The sequence below is a fragment of the Homo sapiens genome, chromosome 1 (assembly GCF_000001405.40).
Source record: "Homo sapiens chromosome 1, GRCh38.p14 Primary Assembly".
Taxonomy (NCBI): Eukaryota; Metazoa; Chordata; class Mammalia; order Primates; family Hominidae; genus Homo; species Homo sapiens.
The window spans coordinates 41,835,638-41,857,165 of record NC_000001.11 but is presented as its reverse complement, the minus strand read 5'-3'; the positions used below and the strand labels follow the sequence as shown (position 1 = coordinate 41,857,165).

At 46.4% G+C, this 21,528-nt stretch overlaps 1 protein-coding gene across 4 annotated transcripts in view; it reads left to right on the top strand.

Annotated features, from left to right (window-relative positions):
- Nucleotides 1-21,528, top strand: part of HIVEP3 (HIVEP zinc finger 3) — a 529,570-nt gene that overhangs the window by 178,769 nt on the left and 329,273 nt on the right. For 2 of the 4 annotated variants that reach the window (NR_038261.2, NR_038260.2), the window contains 2 exons: nucleotides 8,077-8,295; nucleotides 8,721-9,977. The exons of the other annotated variants lie outside the window; for them this stretch is intronic. The gene's annotated coding sequence lies outside the window, so the exon portion shown is untranslated. Of the gene's footprint in view, nucleotides 1-8,076; nucleotides 8,296-8,720; nucleotides 9,978-21,528 lie in introns of those variants that run through there. 4 annotated transcript variants of the gene reach the window in all.

Here is a 21,528-nt window from a genome sequence, read left to right as displayed (position 1 = left end):
AGTTTGGAGGAGAGGAATTGGATCAGGAAGGGGAGGACTGAGTTGGGCAGAACTCAGCAGATTCCTTGGCATGCACTGCAGAAGGATTCCCTGAAGGGCTGCACAGAAAAGAAATGTGCTGTGTGCTTGGCAGGCCAGAAACCACAGAGAACCTGGCAATGCTTTTTGAGGATTTGGGAGCAGAAAAGCAGACTCCCTAGGTGGTTATTTATAGAGCCGCAGCAGTAATGATCAGTTAGAAAAAATAAATTATAACTCAGTTGAACCTGAAATAACTTTTCTTTTGCAACCCCAGGCATCCCACACGGGCTGTGTTCCTGCCGATAGTGTTCCTGGAGGCTGAGGGTCAGTCCCACACCAGGCTCACTTATGCCTCCCCCAAGCTTCAGCGCCGTCAACAAAGCAAGGAGAGGGAGTTTCTGGGTAGAGATGGGGAGAATTCTGGCTGGATGACTCCTTTTCCCCTGCTGCACCTCCCAATTTGCTAAATTGTCCCTCCCTTCCTCCCTCAAGACATCTGTAACATGAGGCATAAGGTGTGCTTGGAGGGAGTGCGGAATTTGTGGCATGCTGAGCCTTCAACTTCTGCACACCTTGTGCACGTGCATGTGCGAACGCCCGCTTGTTTTCTGCACCTGTGTTTTGGCTGCAACAAGAGCTTCTGATTGTAATGTTTTTGGAGAAGCTGGTTGCTAAGTTCACAGGGCCATAGGCTTTTCTCTTCCCCTTAGCCAACAAGCAAGACCGTGCTGATGTTCACACTGACAGCTTGGCAACGGGGTCACCTTGAGCGTGCCCAGCCCACCGCTTGGCATCTTGACACTTGGGCACCCATCCTGTTTCCCCCTCCCACCCATCTGCTCCTTCTTTTCTATTCCTTCATTCATTTGTTCATTTGCTTTTCAATCAACAAGCTTTCATTGCATCTGGCTGCAGATGCATTTTATTTGGCTTGCAACATGGTGTCTTAAATTTGGATTTGCTGCTGACACATAAAGATGGGGTAATTTCATATAAGAATGCAGATACCTGGCCTCTCCCTGAAAATTGCAGTTCTGGTAATACAGGTCACATTCCCATGCTCTGGTATTCTCCATATGGGCAGGAGGGGCAGCAGGCCCCTTTGGTGGCATGCACCTGTAGTCCCAGCTACTTGGGAGGGTGAGGCAGGAGGATCACTTGAACCCGAGAGGCAAAGGTTGCAGTGAGCTGAGATTGCATCACTGCACTCCAGCCTGTATGACAGAGCAAGACTCTGTCTCAATCAATCAATCATTCCAGCCCCTCTGATTCATCACAGCTTCCAGTGACTCCTATTGTCTGGCCATCACCAAGACAATTACCACCCATGTCACCTAAACCAGCAGCTTCACCCATTTATGTTATCTGCCTGGCTCTGTGAGCATTTGAATTTGTGACCCTAGTGCCGTTTCTAATCTGAGGAGTTCTATGGTCCAGTGGGGGAGATAGAGCCATATCTGATTTTTGTGTATGAAAAGTGTTGTGAGAATAGTGTATAGGGGAGGAAAAGATCGATTTTTGACTTCAAGAGTTAGGGAATTCATGGAGAAGGTGAGTTTGGAAGCAGGTTTTAAAAGTGCAGCAAGAAGTGTCTGTTCATGTCCTTCACCCACTTTTTGATGGGGTTGTTTGTTTTTTTCTTGTAAATTTGTTTGAGTTCATTGTAGATTCTGGATATTAGCCCTTTGTCAGATGAGTAGGTTGCGAAAATTTTCTCCCATGTTGTAGGTTGCCTGTTCACTCTGATGGTAGTTTCTTTTGCTGTGCAGAAGCTCTTTAGTTTAATTAGATCCCATTTGTCAATTTTGTCTTTTGTTGCCATTGCTTTTTTATGCAGCCAAAAAACACATGAAGAAATGCTCATCATCACTGGCCATCAGAGAAATGCAAATCAAAACCACTATGAGATATCATCTCACACCAGTTAGAATGGCAATCATTAAAAAGTCAGGAAACAACAGGTGCTGGAGAGGATGCGGAGAAATAGGAACACTTTTACACGGTTGGTGGGACTGTAAACTAGTTCAACCATTGTGGAAGTCAGTGTGGCGATTCCTCAGGGATCTAGAACTAGAAATACCATTTGACCCAGCCATCCCATTACTGGGTATATACCCAAATGAGTATAAATCATGCTGCTATAAAGACACATGCACACGTATGTTTATTGCAGCACTATTCACAATAGCAAAGACTTGGAACCAACCCAAATGTCCAACAATGATAGACTGGATTAAGAAAATGTGGCACATATACACCATGGAATACTATGCAGCCATAAAAAATGATGAGTTCATATCCTTTGTAGGGACATGGATGAAATTGGAAACCATCATTCTCAGTAAACTATCGCAAGAACAAAAAACCAAACACCGCATATTCTCACTCATAGGTGGGAATTGAACAATGAGATCACGTGGACACAGGAAGGGGAATATCACACTCTGGGGACTGTGGTGGGGTCGGGGGAGGGGGGAGGGATAACATTGGGAGATATACCTAATGCTAGATGACACATTAGTGGGTGCAGCGCACCAGCATGGCACATGTATACATATGTAACTAACCTGCACAATGTGCACATGTACCCTAAAACTTAGAGTATAAAAAAAAAAAAAAAAAAAAAAGTGCAGCAAGAATATGCCAAGAGGGAGCCCTGAGCAGTGCTCCAGACACAGGGATCGGCATGGGCAGAAGCTCAGAGGGGTGAGCGAACAGGAGTCAGTGGGGTGGGGGTGAGGCTCTTCTGTTTTCAGTGGGATGCTCCATTGCCAACCCTGCCCAACTTGAAACCCTTTCCAACCTGAAACCAGGCACCCGTGGCCCTTCAGACCTGGGCCTGGCTCTGCAGTCAGCCCCTTAGCAGGCTCCCTTCCCCAGCGCCTGCTGGGTGGCCCTGTATGCAGGTCCTGGCCCATCTGTCAAAATTTGCCTGAAGTAATAGAGTCCTGCTGTTCTTCCCTGTCCCAGCCCAGAACTGAGAGAGAGAGAGAGAGAGGAGGTGGGACAGAGAGAGGGAGAGAGAGAGGGAGAGAGAAAGCCGATCTGCCTCCATCCAAGAGGACAACAGGTGGCCCTAGGTACAGCCGGGTGAGTGAACACACTTAGTAAGGCTCTATGGTTTCCACGTCTTCGCTCTGCTTCTCTGGTGCCTTTCTTTCCCCATCCCTTGAAAGCCAGCTCCTCGATGTGTGAGCTCCTCTGGCCTTCTCCCTTGGTGAGCTCACACATTCATCATCATTTACAGACAGGCTTCTCTAGCTGGCATCAGCAGCCTAGAGCCGCTGCTGAAGGTTGGCAGGTGGAGACCCTGGGTAGCTTGTGGCAGGTTCGCCTTGGTGAGTTCCCAAGTGCCTCAAACCCCACTGAACTAAAGCTGCTGGATCATCCAGTTTCTGGGTACCCTCTTCACTCCTACTTTCCCTCACTCACTCCTCTCAGCCTGGAACTCCCTTCCTCTCCCTTTCTACACGTTGAAATCCTTCTGTTTTTTAAGCTCCTTACTATATAACACCTCTGATATGGTTTGCCTGTGTCCCCACCCAAAATCTCACTTGAATTGTAATCCCCATAATCCCCACATGTCAAAGGAGAGAGCAGGTGGAGGTGATTGAATCGTGGGGGCAGTTTCCCCCATGCTGTTCTCATGATAGTGAGTTCTCGAAATATCTGATGGTTTTATAATTGTTTGGTAGTTCCTCCTGCTTTCATTCTCCTTCCTGCCACCTTGTGAAGAGGGTGCCTTGCTTCCCCTTCACCTTTCACCATGATTGTAAATGTCCTGAGGCCTCCCCAGCCATGCAGAACTACGAGTCAATTAAACCTCTTTCCTTTATAAATCACCCAGTCTCAGTATGTCCTTATAGCCGTGTGAGAACAGACTAATAGAACCTCCCTGAAACTTTCCTGATTCAAGAAGATTCTAGCCCTCATTACATCATAGCAACATTGTCAGAAATCCAAGAATTTGCCTCTGATCCAGACAACCCAATAAACACAGCATTTTGGAGCCAGAAGAGAGCTGGGCCAGTCTCTGTTTTCTTGAAGAAGACCTCCTCCAGCCTGCTCACTTTATTCCCCACATGCCTCCCACCCTGTTTCTTTTCAGGTAATGAACTCTAAAACACAGCCATTCGTGGTGGGGACGTGAAGTCTCTGTTCCCACCCAGACTGTGTGCTGCTTGGTGGCAGGAACTGGCTGCTGTGTTTGTCTTCCCAAGGACAACTTTACACAGTTCTGCGTGAAATCTGTGCTCAGCTGTAAGTAGTTAGTAGCCAGTTGCTGGAGTGAACTGAACTCTTGGAAGAAAGGATAAGAAATTACTGTTTGCATGAGACTTGTCATTAAGGTTATCACTTAAGGAAGAGTGGAAACAGTTTGGGAGTAACTGGGTCAGAGGAGGTGATTTCTGTAACATGAGGACACCTTATAGCCAAGAGCCTCGTTGCCTGGAACATTAAAGTTTGGTCAATGAGAAATTGGCAGTGCAGCCCATGAAGACTGAGAAAGGAGACCTTCTCCAATCTTGGGAATCCATCCAAAGATCCCAATACCATCCACCCCACCTTCTTGGCAAGGGAAGAAGTATAGGCCCTGCTTTTGGGAGTGGAGTGTAGAACCCACCCTAAGGACATGAAGAAGCCAGGGCCTGGTCATAAGAGGGAAGCTGGCTTCTCTGATATTCCTGTCTCTGGGATTCTGGCCTATCCAAAGCATTTGGGCCAAAAGTGAGGGCTTCCGGCTTGTTTCTTACACCTGCCCCTGGCTCAGGGCCGATGACGGTGTCCCTGTGTCCCTCTGTGGCCTCTCACAGTGGTCTTCTCCTGGGCTTCCTGTTGGCTGCCCTGCTCATGGCTGTGCTGTGGCTGCTGGCAGCCCCACGGGGCTCTGAGGAGCCCATGCCAGCACCTTAGGGCTTCTGCTCTTGAGCCGGGGCTCCCACGCAGCAGCCTGGGGTCTGAGAGTGCTGGTAGAACTAAGGAAGGCAAAACAGCAAGACTGAATGGAGATGCATGCCGAGAAATTTCACCTATTTGGATCTCTCCAGAGCCTATGTGGTCTTATCAATAATCATTTAATAGCAACTTATATTATTTTACTATTTACAGAGAGTGTCCACATATGTTAACTTCCTTGATCCTCACAAACACCCTATCCCTTGGGTATTTTCTACCAGCCCCATGAGGCTCAGAGAGATTTACATGACTTTTTGAGGGTTTGAACCCAACTCTTTGGTCTCAAAAACATCTCATTCCAGTACACCTCATTGCCTCCCAAGCCCTGTATCCAGGAAGACCTGACTCACCAGCATGCTTTCTGTGCGAAAGGACACCAGAGCTGAGAAGTAAATCGACACCACCCCCAATCCCTGCAACTTCCTCTTCTCTGTCCTGTCATTGAGAACACCAGCCTAAGGGCACGTTTTTCTCCTTCCACGTTCTATTAAAGCTCAGTAGTCTAACTCCTACTATTGAAAATGAGAGAAACAGGAAGGAAAGTCTCAAATTCCAACTTTGGAAACCACGTTGAAAGAAGGTGCTCTCATCTGGACATGATGGTTCACGCCTGTAATCCCAGCACTTTGGGAGGCCGAGGCTGGCAGATCACGAGGTCAAGAGATTGAGACCATCCTGGCTAACATGGTGAAACCTTGTCTCTACTAAAAATACAAAAATTAGCCAGGTGTGGTGGCACGTGCCTGTAGACCCAGCTACTTGGGAGTCTGAGGCAGGAGAATTGCTTGAATCCAGGAGGCAGATGTTGCAGTGAGCCAACATCATGCCACTACACGCCAGCCTGGCAACAGAGCAAGACTCTGTCTCAAAAAAAAAAAAAAAAAAAAAAAAAAAAAAAAGAAGAAGAAGAAGGTGCTCTCTCATCATTCTTCTGTACATTCATTTGTTCATTAGACAGATATGTATAGAGAATCTGCTGTGTCCCAAGCACTGTTCTAGGTGCTGCGGTTATAGTGGTAGACAGAAAGGTAAAGTTCCTGCCCTCTCGAAGCTCACATCCTACTTTCAGGGGGTAATGAGCAAGTAGATGATGAACAAATGTTTTATATAGTTCTAGGGCTATAAGGAGTGTAGAGAAGGCTGATGAGATGCAGTGTAACTGGCAGGAGGGGAGTGAGAACTACTTGGGTAGATGATCAGGAGATACTCTGCAAGAGGAAACATACAGAAGGAGCCTGACATGAGAAAACTGGGGCAGCAGTTTTCCAGGAAGAGGGACCAGCACAGGTCCAAGTTGAAACTCAGAATGGAATTTTAGGAAATTATATTCTTCATGATGGTTAGATCCTGTGGGCTATCATCACTGCAGTTCAACAATGTGGTGCCTAGTAGGAAGAGTTCTCCCAGGAACCCTCCACGTGTGCTATGGGATTTCTGAGAAAACCAGTTCTGAGTTCTAGGCAGTGGACTCACAGTTGAACTTGGAGGGAACCAAGAATTGCTTCCATCATAGCCTTACTAAGAAATGACCATGGCATGGCCTGAGTGCTTCGGCATGGAGGACCAGAAGGGGAAGCCCTAATTTGCCAGTTGCAGACTCTTGAGCCTTGTGACTCTAATGACGACAAAAATTAGGAGATTTTCTAGGACTCCACGTTTGCGATTTTGAGAGTAGTGCTGCTGGGGTTCCTGGTTTGGGTTCTATTGATTGTTTCATTGTTTCTGTGTGCAAGTTACCCTCTCTAAGCTTAGTTTAATTAATATTATATTAAGTGAGGTAGTTAGATTATATGAACCCTAAGGCTCCTTTTATTCTTAACCTTAAAATAAAAACATTTTGTAAACAGTTTTTCTTTGTGTGTGTGGTGGCCTTTTCTGTGCCTCTGCTTTGGATGAGGTTACAGGGCTGAGTGCGAGTGAGTCATTAGTGGTTCCTTTGATATAAGACAGGTGATACTATTGAACACTGTTGGTGGTAGACCAGTGGTTCTCAAAGTGTGGTCTCTGGACCAGCAATAGCTGGGCTTGGGAACTTGTTAGAAACTCTAGCTGTCAGCCTCCACCCCAGACCTACTGATTAAAAAACCGTAGGAGTGTAACCAAAACTCTGTGTTTTAACAAAGTCTACAAATGATTCTGATGCATGCTAAAGTTTAGGAACCACTAGAGTAGAGTATGTGCTTTAAGATTTGGGTCTACCGGCCAGGCGTGGTGTCTCATGCCTGTAATCCCAGCACTTTAGGAGGCCAAGGTGGGTGGATCCCAAGGTCAGGAGTTTGAGACCAGCCTGGCCAACATGGTGAAACCCCATGTCTACTAAAAATACAAAAATTAGCTGGGCATGGTGGTGCATGCCTGTAGTCCCAGATACTCGGGAGGGTGAGGCAGGAGAATTGCTTGAACCCAGGAGGCAGAGGTTGCAGTGAGCCGAGATTGCGCCATTGCACTCCAGCCTGGGCGACAGGGCAAGACTTGGAAAAAAAAAAAAAAAAGATTTGGGTCTACCACTGATGGATCCTTACATTCCAGTCACTGTCATGGTCACAGCAAGTAGTTGCATGTCTGTGCAAATATTGCAATAAGATGTTTATTCAGCTTGGCTTGGTGAACAGTCCTGTGACTCTAAAGCAGAAAATGTTCCTGGCCTGTGCTAGGACTGGACCCACACTCTCCTCCTTGGTATTATGTCCCATCCACTCCTCTAGGTGAGCATCTGCATGGAGGAGGGGTTAGCAAGGAGGCAGGCTGCTTCCAGAAGTTGTGACAGAGTGCTGTTGGATGTGCTTCTGGGGAGACTGATGTAATTGGAGAAGTTTGTGCATGGTTAGTTTCCACACATTTTTAAAGTATGAAACTGTCTTGGGTTTCTAAGTCCTTGGTAGATATATCTGCGTGCATCTGTCGTGAAGATCAGTGGTGATGAAAGGTCTCAGGTGCCATAGAATAAGCAATCTGGTGACCCTGCTGCACACTGAGTTTAGAGTTCTGATTCAGTTTGGTTTCCCTTATCTAAATGTCCACTCGTGAACTAGAATGAGGTGACCAGATGGTCCAGATCACCCAGGACTGCCCCGTGTTTCCCCTTCCTGTCCCTCTCAGTCTGGTGTCTCGGATTTGTTCCTGTGTTGCCCACTCCTGCTGGATCTTGTCCAGTCGAGGGACAAACGTCCTGAAGAATGGGAAGAAAGGAGGTTCTGAAGGCACAGATTCCAATACCATGCCAGAGGTTGAGGACACTGGTGCTTGAAGGGAAACTGGCACACTCTGGAGCCCCAAGAAGAGCTGGAGCTGGAGGCATGCGGCCCACGAAGGGTAGAAGTAAGTTCATTTCTCTGGTAGGGCTTAGGGGAGGGGTAGTCACAGGTAGGGCTTGGGATGTGGGGCTGGGATGGCTCCTACAGGGCCAGAAGGCAAAGAAAGGGCAGCAGATGGGCACAGCAGGGACAAGGGTGTGGTGAGGAATCTGACTGCTCCAGCCCAAGCTGGCATGGCCTCTCTGCTCTCGCCTTCTGCCCTCTTTCTGTAATCTTTCATCTCTGAGGATGTTGGGCCATTCCTGGGTCCCTCCTTCTTCCTGCAATTCTCTCTACCCTTCCACCCTGTTGCCCTCTCCCCTCCCTCGCTTCCTATTGTGTCCTGCCCACTGCCGATTCCATCCTCCTTATCTCATGTCTATCCATGATTGACATGATGGAAATGGCACAGTAGAGTCCAATGGTGATAAGCACTCTCCGTGTTTGCAGGTACCAGCCATGACCAAGAGCCCTTCACATCATCTGGCAATCCATCCAGAACCCACTGAATGGAGGACAGCACAGCGAGGTCTTTCTCATTTTGTAACTGCAAAAGCTGGAACAAGAGCCAGAGAAGCCAAAGAAGCAGTACAAGTCCAACAGCTTTTAGAATAACCCTGAGAAAATGGTTGAATTTTGACCAGTTTTGCAATTGGATACTATGAGAAGAGACCTTCCCTCCTGCACTGGATTTCATCATCATACCTGGAGGCCATTCCTCATGGGACTTTGGCCATCTCATATCCACCTTTAAGCATGTTATTCCCATTTCAGCTGTGGTAGCTCTGGGTATCCTTCCCTAGGAGAAAATATTAATCTTTTCTCCCTCTGAGTTCTGGATTAAACTGTCTTATCTGAAACTGGGTCACTTTAGGCTAGAAGCACCACTAGACATTCCTGTTCTCAGAAGTTGCCAAGTTCATGTCATATCTGTTTCATTGTTAACGGGATCCACTTCTGCAAGAGGCTGCCTGGCCAGATCAGTGTGTCTCCTGGTCAGCTCCTTGATGCCCTTCTCCTCTCCCCTGCCCAATCCCAGCTGAGACTTGCACTGTGGTGACTCTGTCCCCTCCTGGTGCTTTGACTGGATGTGTGAGAGAAAGTATGGTCTGTGGCACTGACATCTTTGTGTGTTTGGAGGTGACTGGAACACGGATCCACCCCTGGAGGAAGGTGGCCGTGAAGGAGGCCAGCCTCAGCTCAGCGTTCTACTCTCATCGCTCTTACTCCCGCCTTTTTAGTGCCTGCCCTACTCCAGGATAATTGTGCTTTTCTTTTTTCAGTTAAATGTTAGCATTGCTATTTTTCATTATTGCAAAGCAGCACATGCTTGTTACAAAAACTTTGGAAGTGTAGACAAATAAAAAGAAGAAAAAGCTACTTCCAAATCCTACTTACCCCAAAGACAAGATGATCATTTAGTCATATAGTATCATACATATATAATATGTACACATATATTTTAATGTAAGTGTAGTGTCACAATATCATGTATAGTCTTTCATAAAACACGTTGGCACTTAATATCTTATATGAACAACTTTCTAGAGCAACAAGCTTAGTTTACAGCAATTGTAATGTAAGAGTACTCATTTACATAGCTACAGCATCCTTTGTTTACCTCATCTCTTATGGTTTGATGTTTAGGTTGTTTCCAACTTTTCTCCACCTAAACAGCATTAATAAATGTGGTTTTAGTTTCCTCTTCCTATGACTAATTATTTCCTTAAGATGAATCCCCAGAAAAGAATCAAAAGAAAATTTGCAAAAGTTACAAAGATGTCAAAGTATGGAGCCAGCATTAACTGCTCAGAACCCAAATGCATGAGAGACTAGGTTGCTGGGAAGGCCACATATGCCCTTTCCTGGATGCCTTTATATAGCCACACTTGGGTGGCTCTGGCTTCCGTTGCCTTGCCTGGAACAGGGAATACCCATGAATGATGACTGAGGTGAGCAGGCAGTGAATGAGGGAGTGGTGTTGTCTCTTTGGGGTTAGTATGTGGCTATATCCCATGAGTGCTCATTGGATGCTGAGAAACAGTCATTTGTTCATTCTTTCATTACCCATCTATGGAGGAGCCGCTGTTGCAAGGCACCAGGCAAGAGGCTGAGAAGACAAAGATGAATTAAATAGGGACTTCATTCTTGGGAAGATCACAGCCTGGCAAAGGCCAGTGACTCATCACACACATTTACTTCACAGTGTAGTAAGAGGAAAAACAGAAGTTCAGTAATGCATCTCAGGGCAGAAAACTTGGAAAAATCTGAAAGTCCCAAGGAAAAAATATGAAACATCACATAATCCTCTGGCCCATTCCTCACAGCGAACACGTTCAGGTGTATCCTTTAGGCTATGAGCCTGGCTTGCTTGTGGTCATCCTCACCGGATACAACCTTGACGGCATTGCCTGTGTCCTGCATTGGCACCTCTGGTGACCTGGCACCATCTTAGACAACTTCCTCTGAAATCTATTAAATGAAAAATCCAACAGGAGTTAACAGAATGAAAGGTAAATGGATTCATGAGTTGAAACAAAGTCTCCATGTTTTATGTATGTAGGGAAATTTGCATTAATTCATATCCTTCTGCACAATGGAAACTTTTTCAAATATTTCATTGTAAAAGTAACATGCACATTTCAGAAAATTGGGGGATGAGAGAAAAGGAGAATGTTACCATATTTCACTATCTAATCCAGGGCTGACAGCATTCTAGTGACCGTCACCCTGAAAAATTTGTATTAAGATGATGTGAGGACGAGAGCTGAGGAATGAATGTTATTCGTGCGTTGGTTTTTCCAGTTTACTTTTTATTTATTATTTCTTTTTGAGATGGAGTCTCACTCTGTTGCCCAGGCTGGAATGCAGCGGCGCAATCTTGGCTCACTGCAACTGTCTCCCGGGTTCAAGCAATTCTCCTGCCTCAGCCTCCAGAGTAGTTGGGACTACAGGCACCAACCACCATGCCTGGCTAATTTTTGTATTTTTCATAGAGATGGGGTTTCACCATGTTGGCCAGGCTGGTCTTGAACTCCTGACCTCAGGTGATCCACCTGCCTCGGCCTCCCAAAGTGCTGGGATTACAGGTATGAGCCACCATACCCAGCCTCCAATTTTATTTTTAATTAAACATACTTGACAGGTAATTACATTCATATAGTTCAAAATTCAAATAGTATAAAAGCATATAGAGTGAAAAGTTTACATGCCCAGCCATCTAGTTCCCTGGGACACCTAGTGATATCAGTTTAATGTGTATCCTTCTAGAGTTTTTGTGCCTATAAAACCATATATGTATATAAAACATGAGTTTTTAATGGAAGGCTTGGCAATATTATTACTGAATGTTCTAAGTTTAACCTAAACTATCCCTGTTGTTCCTAGTGGCAGGCCTGGGGTATAGGTGAAGAAGAGAGAAAAGGGCAGAAAGAGGCGTGTGTGTGTGTGTGTGTGTGTGTGTGTGTGTGTGTGTGCGTGTGTGTGTGTGTATAGGAGGTGTGTAGGTGGTTGTTGCTGATGGAGACAGTGAAGGAATGAGCACTCATTTATCCATTCTACTAGTATTTATTTACTGAGCACCTATTATGTGTCAGACACTATTGTAGACCCAGGAGATAGAGGAGTGAACCAAAACTCTTTGTCCTCATGGATATTATTTAAAATGGAAGGTGGTAGAGAATAAACATATTGTAGTCTCTTAGAAAGTGATAAATACCATGGAAAAACTTAAGTAGGGTGCAAGAGATGGGGACTATCAAGGGAAATTTTCAAGTGAGTTGTCAGGGGAGGCTACATAGAGAATGGGGCCTATGAGCATAGATGCGAAGGAGGTGAGGGAGTGAGCCCTGTGGATGCCCAGGGATGGAGCTCCCACAGAGGGAAGAGGCAGTGCAAAGGCCCTGTGGCAGAAGCTTGAGCCCTGAAGGCCTCCAGCGGCCCTCTTCTCCCCTCTCCAGGCTGTTCCTGGTGACCTCTGCCCCTGGCTGGCCTCCCTCAGGACCCAAAGAAGCCCAGGTCAGCTGGTGTGTTCTAGGTATAGTGCTGAGATTATTCTATATGAGATGTTAGATTTTCCTTTCTTTATATTTTGATCCTGATGTTTAATGTTACTCCTTCAAGATAATTCTATGCTTTGGATGTTAGTTTAGTCTGAATAAGGGGAAAAGCGGGGAACATTGTTGTAGAGGGTGGACTAAGATTGAGACTTGAAGGTCCTAGATTTTACACCAACCTTGGCACTTGTTTTCAAGCCTTTTGAATTGAGCACATTATTCAGCCTCTATGGTTTGTAGTTTCCCCACTTAGAAAATGAAAGGGGTGTACTTAAATGGCTCTAGGGCTGTCCCCAACACTGTGGTTTTCAAGCCCTGTGACCCTGCGAGCAGTTAAGGTAAGAAGCGGCATCGGATGACGTCTAGCGATACTGCTGGGGAGGAGAAGGGCGCCTTTGCCTGCAGAGGACTCTGTGTGCATGATAACGTGTGTTGCTACTTGTGTCTCCCTCTTGGACTAGAAGAGCTCAGGTTCATCCTTAAAATAGAACATTCTATCTGAGTAAGTCCAGAATCCCTGATGTTCACAGAGGAGATGCAGCAGCACTGTTCATTGCGTTCTTCTCCTTGTTAGTTTAGTGTGCTGCTCCCTTTCAGCCCTGAAGGGGTTGTTGTTTTCCATGCCCCTTGGCTGAACTGATTCTCAGTTTGCAGTGGAGGTGGACTTGGTGGGGCTGGGTCTCCTTCTTTTGTTCCTTGGTGTCAGAGGCTCCCTCCCCTCTTTACTATCCTCAGTTTGGCTGCCTGAAGTCTTTCATCCACCCTGGTGAAGCAGGCAATGAGAGGAGGGAGTGTGTCATTGGTATCAACATTGTCCCATGTGGAGCAAAATCACTGTGAATTTAAAAATCAGGGAATTGAACAATGAGAACACATGGACACAGGAAGGGGAACATCACACACTGGGGCCTGTTGTGGAGGCCCCACACACGGAGGGGGGAGGGATAGCATTTGGAGACATACCTAATGTTAAATGACGAGTTACTGGGTGCAGCACACCAACATGGCACATGTATACATATGTAACTAACCTGCACATTGTGCACATGTACCCTAAAACTTAAAGTATAATAAAAAAAATCAGAATGTGTGTAAAGGTGTGGGGGCAGAGTTGGGGCCTCCAGAAATTTCATTTAGAGGGAGAAATGTTAAACATGAATAGAAGCCTTTTCTCTTTTACTTTTAAAGGGTGAGTCACGTTGGCTGTAGTTACTTTCTTCCTTATTCCTCAGCATTTCCTCTGTTTTTTTTTTTTCTTAAACTACCCGTCTTTAGCACTCCTAGCTGCTGTGAAACAGGGCAACAGAAGAGTGGCTTCTGGAATTGGGTTTCACATTCTTTACTGGAGTTTGTGGGAGGATGGCGTGTTCCCTAAGCATTGCGGAGGAAATACTGATGCCCATGCATCTTTCATTGGAAATGGGTCCTGAAATGTTTAATTTGTTGAAATCAACTTCTGATTTATGCTATTTTCCCAGGACCTTTTAAAAATATATGCACAAAAATCCCTCTGTTACTTCTTACATTTCGTGTGATGTCCTTTGTCTCCATCAACTGTTGTAGAGAGAAACTGTATTTGGAATATTCATAACAAGTCTATCGCTAATTATCACTTTAACAATGTGTTATGGAGTGTATCCATGCAGTCATCTGGGAAGGCGCATATGCCGTGAAATGTGGGGATTTGCTGTGTACTGCTTGTGCCTGCTTTTAGCGTTTCCTCAGGTCTTAGGGAGGAAGTAGAGGTGCTTGGTAACGGGGAACGGAGGGGAGGACTTCACAGCTGAGGGCCTGCATCCTGCATTCCTGTCCTCCCAGCAACAATTTCCAGGGTACATTGCTTTTGAGCGTAAGAAAAGCCTTTATTTGAAACAAAAATCTTTCTCCACACTGAAGCCTCATTTCTGGAAAGCTGCAGAGATTGGAACTGAGGTTACCCCAGGTCAGTGCCAGGTAGACAGATCCTAGCCATAGATCTAATTGCTGATGAAGAAAGAGGCTGCTGGCCTTAGTGCCTTTCTGATACTCTAGCAAGAAGCGGGGGGCAAAAAGAGCTAAAATTGCCACCTGATTTGCAGATCTCAGAAGCAAATGAAAAGGAGCTTCACCATCTCGAGGGATGAGAAAGAATGCTGCTTCCTTTTCTTTCTTTCTGCTCTCTTTTCTCTTGGGAAGGAGAATGAACTCATGCTGGGCTCCTTCTTCAGGATTCTCAGTGGGTCTGAGCTGTGGGAAGCTAGCATTCTGTTATCTCAGGGGCACGTGGAGCTCTTTCCACCAAGACCTCCTGATTGGCATGGATAAAGCCCCAGAGGCTGCTTTCAAATGAGGCCAGAGTAATGGAGCATAATGGAGCAAACCTCCTGGTGGAAGAGTTCAGTCCTACTGCAGTGATAAATCAGGAAGCCTTTATGAGGGGCCAGTAATGGGACAGTGGGGAGTGAGTTGCCAAACCTGGCTCCACATGACTTCGAGGCTCCTTTGTGGGTCCTGTTTTTAGTGCCAATGGGGGATTCAGGCTCAATCTTTTCTGGGTGTCCTGGGAATATTCTGAAGGGTTTAATTTGGATAGTTTTAGAGTTGCATCTGTTATAAAGATTTAATAATGAGTTTTTATGGCACTTGGAGCCTGGTTTTGTTAGATGTTACTTTAGAAATAATAACAGCACTTTATTGCTGTTATTATTGAGTGCTTACTATATACTAGGTGCATTATTCATCATAATCATTAACAGTGAATTTTTTTTTTGAGATGGAGTCTCTCTCTGTTGCCCGGGCTGAGTGCAGTGCTGTGATCTCGACTCACTGCAACCTCCACCTCTTGGGTTCAAGCAATTCTCCTGCCTCAGCCTCCTGAGTAGCTAGGACTACAGGTGCACACCACCACGCCTGGCTAAGTTTTGTATTTTTAGTAGAGATGGGGGGATTTCACCATGTTGGCCAGACTGGTCTTGAACTCCTGACCTCAAGTGATCCACCTGCCTCGGCTTCCCAAAGTGCTGGGATTATAGGAGTGAGCCACCCCACCCAGCCAACAACGAATATTAATGCAGTACTTATGATGTACCAAACTCATAAGCACACTTACCTCACCAGGTCTTAGAAGAACACTCCCTCTGGAGCCATCACTTACGCGTGAGGACATTGAGGCCCTGAGCTTAGATAACTTGTTCAAAATGGCCCTGCTGATAAGCTACATGGACGAAGTCAGCGGTTTTGGGCATGTCTTTCCACCAGCTTCTGGAAGAACAGCACACAGGCCGTTCCCCTCTCCCCCATTTTAAAGTGGCAGGAGAAGGTGGAATGAAGAAAATAAATAGGGCTGTTCCTGGCTCTGTGTGGTCAGAGGGTGATACTGGTTCAGGGTCCAGCTTATCAGTGCTGCACTGATATTCACAGAGCATTCGGCTCCGGAGGCTTTGCACTGTTTGTAATGCATTGTCAAAACTTGGTGTTGGCTGCCTGTTTAAAGAATTGATTTAATAAACACCGCGTTTCTGGATGTTTGGTTTCTTTGTTTTTGTTTGGGGTCATGGAGGTGGGATCCTGGAAGAGTTGGATGGAAGTGTATTTGACAGGAGAAATTCTGGGTGTGTTTAAAAATCAAGCCACCACAGATTCTGATGCAGCCTTCTTGAAGACAGGTGTGTGTGGGCAGGTGTGCTGGGGGCACTGGGATGGGCAGAGGAAGTGGTGGGGTTTGTAGGTGGAAACGCAGGGCTGGCTTTGTTGTTGTCTGCACGGCCCTCCAGGCTACAGTCATTAACTGCACCAATACTGCCACTAATAGGTGGGTGATTCAGCTCCTTCCTGCATTTTATTACCGGACAGAGACTTTAACAGCCCTTTGATTTAGCAAGTTAATAAAGTAAGTGATCAGGCTCCACTGTTTAACCACTGACTGGATGGCCTGGGGCTTGTTGCTTTCTGGGAACCCTTCTGATATTGTTTTAAAATTAAAAGGAGAGAAAGTTATGGAATTTGAGTGCTCTACTTGAGTCTCCTGGCTCCTTCCTAGGCAGCCTCACCAGCCCAGCATGCCTGGCCTCCTTCCAGTGCCAAGCTTCCTCTGGTTATGTCGTCCAGTGACTGGCTGGCTGGCACGGCCAGGATCTGATGGGCTCCGTGGGTGTCACTGGCCAGGGGTTAATATCCAAGGGATTTGAAGGTCCTGGCTGTCTTTGAGGGAGAGAGTTGGATGAGAATGTAGGGTCTCGTGATGGGGTCCTGTATTAATTTCTCGTGGCTGCCATAATAAATTAGCACAAACTGATGGCTTAAAACACCAGAAATTTATTCTTTCATGGTTCTGGAGGCCAGAAGTCTGAAATCAAGGTGTCAGCAGGGCCATGCTTCCTCCAAAGTCTCTAGGGAAGGATCCTTCTGTGCCTCTTCTAATTTCTGGTGGTTGCTGGCAATCCTTAGTGACCTTGGCTTGTAGAGATGTCATCAGGTCTCGGCCTCTGTTGTCATCACATGGCCTTCTCCCTCTGTGAATCCATGCATGTGTCTCTCCTCTCCTTATAAGACACAGTCATGTTGGATTTGGGGTCTACTCTATTCCAATATGACTTCATCTTAACTAATGATATCTGCAAAGACTCTATTTCCAAATAAGGTCACATTTTGAGGCTCTGGGTGGATGTGAACGTTGGGGGGACACTATTCAACCCAGTCCGGGTTTTTCAGGAACAAGTGACAAAGAGGCGGGGACGGTGGCAAACTGATTCATAAAAGGAGGCGCGACGAGAGCCAGGCTCAGGATTCCCAAACAGTTTAGGCAGCACTGTGCAGTCGATCTTCCTGAGATGATGGGATACAGTTCTGTCACTATGCCACTTGAAATATGCCCAGTGTGGCTAAGGACCTGGGTTTTAAATTGTATCTCATTTAAATAGTCACACAGGACTAGTGGCAACCATGGCAGACAGTGAGGCTCTAAACCCTCCTGAGAATAAAATAAGAGAAGGAGGGTTTGAATGTTTAATAGTTTGGGCAAGGTCATTTGCATCCAGGGTGGTCACCGGGGGCTTACAAGGCTAAGCAAGGTAGACCGTTACTCTGTTTCCCTCCTTGATTAGGAAAAATCCTCTGTGACATACAGCCAGCCAGGCTGCATTTCACTTGGGGTCCTCTGGACCCCAGGCGTGGCCATTAATCTGGGCTGTGAGTGGTTACCTCACTCATGTGTAGTCACACACACAGAGCATCCCATGCCCCACTCCAGAGTACTCACGCCCTGGGCCCTGCGATTTGTTAGTTCCATCCCTGGAATCCTCCTATGGGCAACTTAGAAAGGAGGTGCCTTGGGGGTGCCCACAGGTGGCCCTACCTTCATCTCCTGGGTCAAAGAATGCTTCCTGGAGGAAGTGATGCTTGAGCTGAGACCAGTTGCTGCTGCAGAGTCCTGTCTGTTTTCAGTACGTGAGAGTGAGCTGAGAACTTAGGACTGCAGGTCTTTAGAACCAGAAGGAACCCCAGCAATCATCGGGACAATGGTCTTGCAAGTTCTGAAACCACCAGAGGCTCTTCTTCAAAGGAAAGATCACCTGTACTCTTGATATGTAGAGCCAGTAACAGAGGTGGGTGCTGCTTTGGATGGGGAGGTGGGAGGAGAAGGAGGCCAGAGACCTTCTCAGGGCTCCACCTTCCCTCCTCTGTGGACCCTGTAGCATAGGGTGAGGAAATCACAGGTCAAGGCTGGCATCCCTGTGGCAGACCAAGAACTGGAGGTTCAGAGAGGTAGAGAAACTTGACAAGGTCACACAGCAAATTGATGAATATTGTCAATTGGAAGATTTTGAGGATCTATTCCTGGACCCCCAACCCCCTGACATCCTTGACACCCTTCTTGAAAGAAGATAATTTGGTCCAGTTGTCAGCTATTAACACTGTGGGATATCTGCTCTCTGATCAGATGCTCTTTCTGATTTTAATCCCATCAGGAAATGGTGTTTTGATTAGTTGCTATTGTTGTTTCGCAGACTGACTGAGATTCGTAGGTAATCCTAAATTGTGCATATTACCCTTCCTAGCATGTGCCTGCTATGTGCCAGACACTGGGCAGAGTCCTTCCTCTCACTGTGTCATTTATTCTCCATGGATCCCTGATACTGGTATTATTGACTCCATTCTATAGATGAGAAAACTGAGGCTCGGAGAGGTAGAGAGTAGGATTCAAAGCCTGTGTTCTTTGCACAGGGAGATGCTGCCTCCCTAGGAGGATGGTGATAAATCTGAAATGTTCTTGATGAATTAGAAAGCAGGTCCTAAAAAATCAGGGTGCCATTTATGGGTAAGGACGAGACAATGTGGCTCAGGAGGGAAGGGGAGGCCAGATCCGAGGCCGACCACAAGCGGATATGAGGCAGCCAAGCATCCTGACAGCAATGCCATGTGGTCTGAAAGTGTGGAAAGAAGGCAAGGAGTGAAGAAATGACACAGTTATAGGAAGGGGGAACAGACAGCTTTTTGGTTGTCCTGGTGGAGCCTAGAGGGATGGGAGTGGTTATAAAAGCACAGTATGAGGGATCCTTGTGCGATGGAAATGCTCTGAATCTTGCCTCTGTCGATGACATTATGTGGATTCTGATATTGTGATATAATATAGTGTTGCAAGATGTTACCGTTGGGGGAAAATGAGGGAAAAGTACCTGAGATCTCTTTGTATTATTTTTTACAACTCTGTGTGAATCTACAATTATCTCAACAAGTTCAATTAAAATATATATATAAGTCCTGAAAAACAAAAAGAATACAAGGAATTCACCGGGCCATCTGTGTCAAAGGGGCAGAATTCCTGTTCCTTTCATGGACTGAAAGGAGAGCTGGAACATGGTATTCCAAAGCAAAGGTGTATTCAGATGTCCATATGCAATGCACTGAGGCTTAGCCTGGGCCCCTGCAGGGCTGAGAGGAACCACCTTCCTGAGATTGTTGCTAAGATAGAAGGCAATGGGAGAGACAGAGATGGCCAGAATCCCCAGAGGTGGTGCCATGTGGAATAAATACTGGCCAGGCAGGCAGGTGACACTCATCAAGTACCTACTGGGTACCAGGCACTGTTCCAGGGCTAGGGATTCAGGGGGAAGAAAGCCAGTGTGCTTGCCTGTAAGTCTTGTATTTTAGAATAGGAGATAGAATTAAACAAGGAACAGGTAAGTGAACAGGGCAATGTCCGGTGCTAACAGGGGTTATGAAGAAGACAAAAGAGCAGGCCGGGCGTGGTGGCTCTTGCTTATAATCCCAGCACTTTGGGAGGCCAAGGCAAGCAGATCACCTGAGGTCGGGAGTTGGAGACCAGCCTGACCAACATGAAGAAACCTCTTCTTTACTATAAATATAAAATTAGCGGGGTGTGGTGGTGCATGCCTGTAATCCCAGCTACTCGGGAGGCTGAGGCAGGAGAATCGCTTGAACCTAGGAGGCGGAGGTTGCAGTGAGCTGAGATTGCACCATTGCACTCAAGCCTGGGCAACAAGAGTGAAACTCTGTCTCAAAAAAATAATAAAAATAAAAATAATAAAAAGAGCAAAAAGTAGGACAGGGTGACTGAGGGGCTGCCTTTGCTGGAGTATTCAGGGAAGGCTTCACTGAGGAGGTAACCCTTGAGGGAAACCCCAAATGAGATGGAAGCAGCTGTGCAGATGTGTCGGGAAGAGTATTCCTAGCAGTAGGAAGAGCAGGTGCAAATTTCCTGAGACAGGAATAAGCTTGTTGTGTTGGAGGAACAAAATGAAGGCCATTGGGCGGGAATTATTGAAAGGGTGGAGGGAGATGAAGCTGAAGAGAAGGGCAAGGCCCAATCCTATAGGCTCTTGTAGGCTTTGGTAAGGATTGGTATTGGGAAGCTCCTAGAAGGTTCTAAGTAGGGACATGATCTGCTGTGTAGGGGATGGATTTTAGAGCAGCAACAGTGGAAAAAAGACCATGATGTGCCACTTCAATAGTTCATGCAAGAAGATAGTTGTATGATTTGAGTTTTGGCAATGGGATGGAGAGAGTTGTTGGGTTATAGGGATGCTTTGGAAGTAGAGCCACTGCAGACTCACTAGGGGTTTAGACATGGGTGGGTGAAATGAGAAAAGCCAGGATGCCTCTTAGGTTTGCCAGTCGCATCCTACCACAACTAACTCCAAAGGACTGGTTGCATTCTTGTGAATTTCCTTCAAGGGGAAAACATGAGAAATAAATGAGAATTGAGCTGAGACCCAGTAAGTTTGGAGTAGTGTGGGAATCCACATGACCAGTTTCATTGATCTGCTTCTTAGCTCTTGCTGTGGGAACTGAGAACATGCTCAGATTGTCTTGTTGATGGGATTACTCGTAAGGAGATCAAGGAGATGAGGACGTTCTGAAACATCCTGGAAGTTGCCCTGTGACGCCCAAGGAGAACTGCAGCATGTCCCTTGTCACCCTCAGCAGCTCTGGAGACCAGGCATCTTCCCATGCCAGCCACTAACCCAGGCTGAACCTGACCCAGCTGTGCTCTCTGCCTGTCCTTCTCCTGCAGCCATGCCTCCCTTGTTCTTCTCTCTCTGGGTCTCACACTCCCAGCTGCTCAGCAGGGACAGTCTGCTTGGATTGGCTGGTTCACCAGAGGGCAAGTCTGCGGGGCAGAGGGCTCAGCCAGGCCCCGACTGAGGCAGCTGGAGTCCTTGACGTCTCTCCTGAAGGTCATTGTCTTTGGCATGTGCACATATTCTTGGCCTAGTCATGGCCAGAGGATCATGGGACTCAAAACATGCACGAAAGCTCAGGTGCTGAGAGCTGCCTGTAATCTCTGAAGACATAGCAGCCACAGGGTTCATGGACTGTCCTGTTCACAAAAATCACATAATCTAGAAAGACAAATATCAGGTGGATAAGAAGGAGCTCATATGGCAGGTTAGGGGTATCTGTTTCTTTTGGTGAAAGTGTGAGGAACATAAAAAATAATCTTTTATTTGCATAATACTCTATCTATAGTGACTTGAAATTAACTTTTATCTTTGGTACTGCTTCTTAGAGGGGCCCAGGGAGCACTGCATTTGTCCACTGTTCATCAGTCTGTCAAAGTGGCTTGTTAAAATGCACTTTCCCTGGGCCCTACCACAGCACTTCTGAATCAGAATCATCCCAGGGCGGAGAGCTACTGCCCTAAGGAATATTAGCGTGATCTACATCCATTTCCTCTGCGTTGACTAACTCTGACTTCACCATTG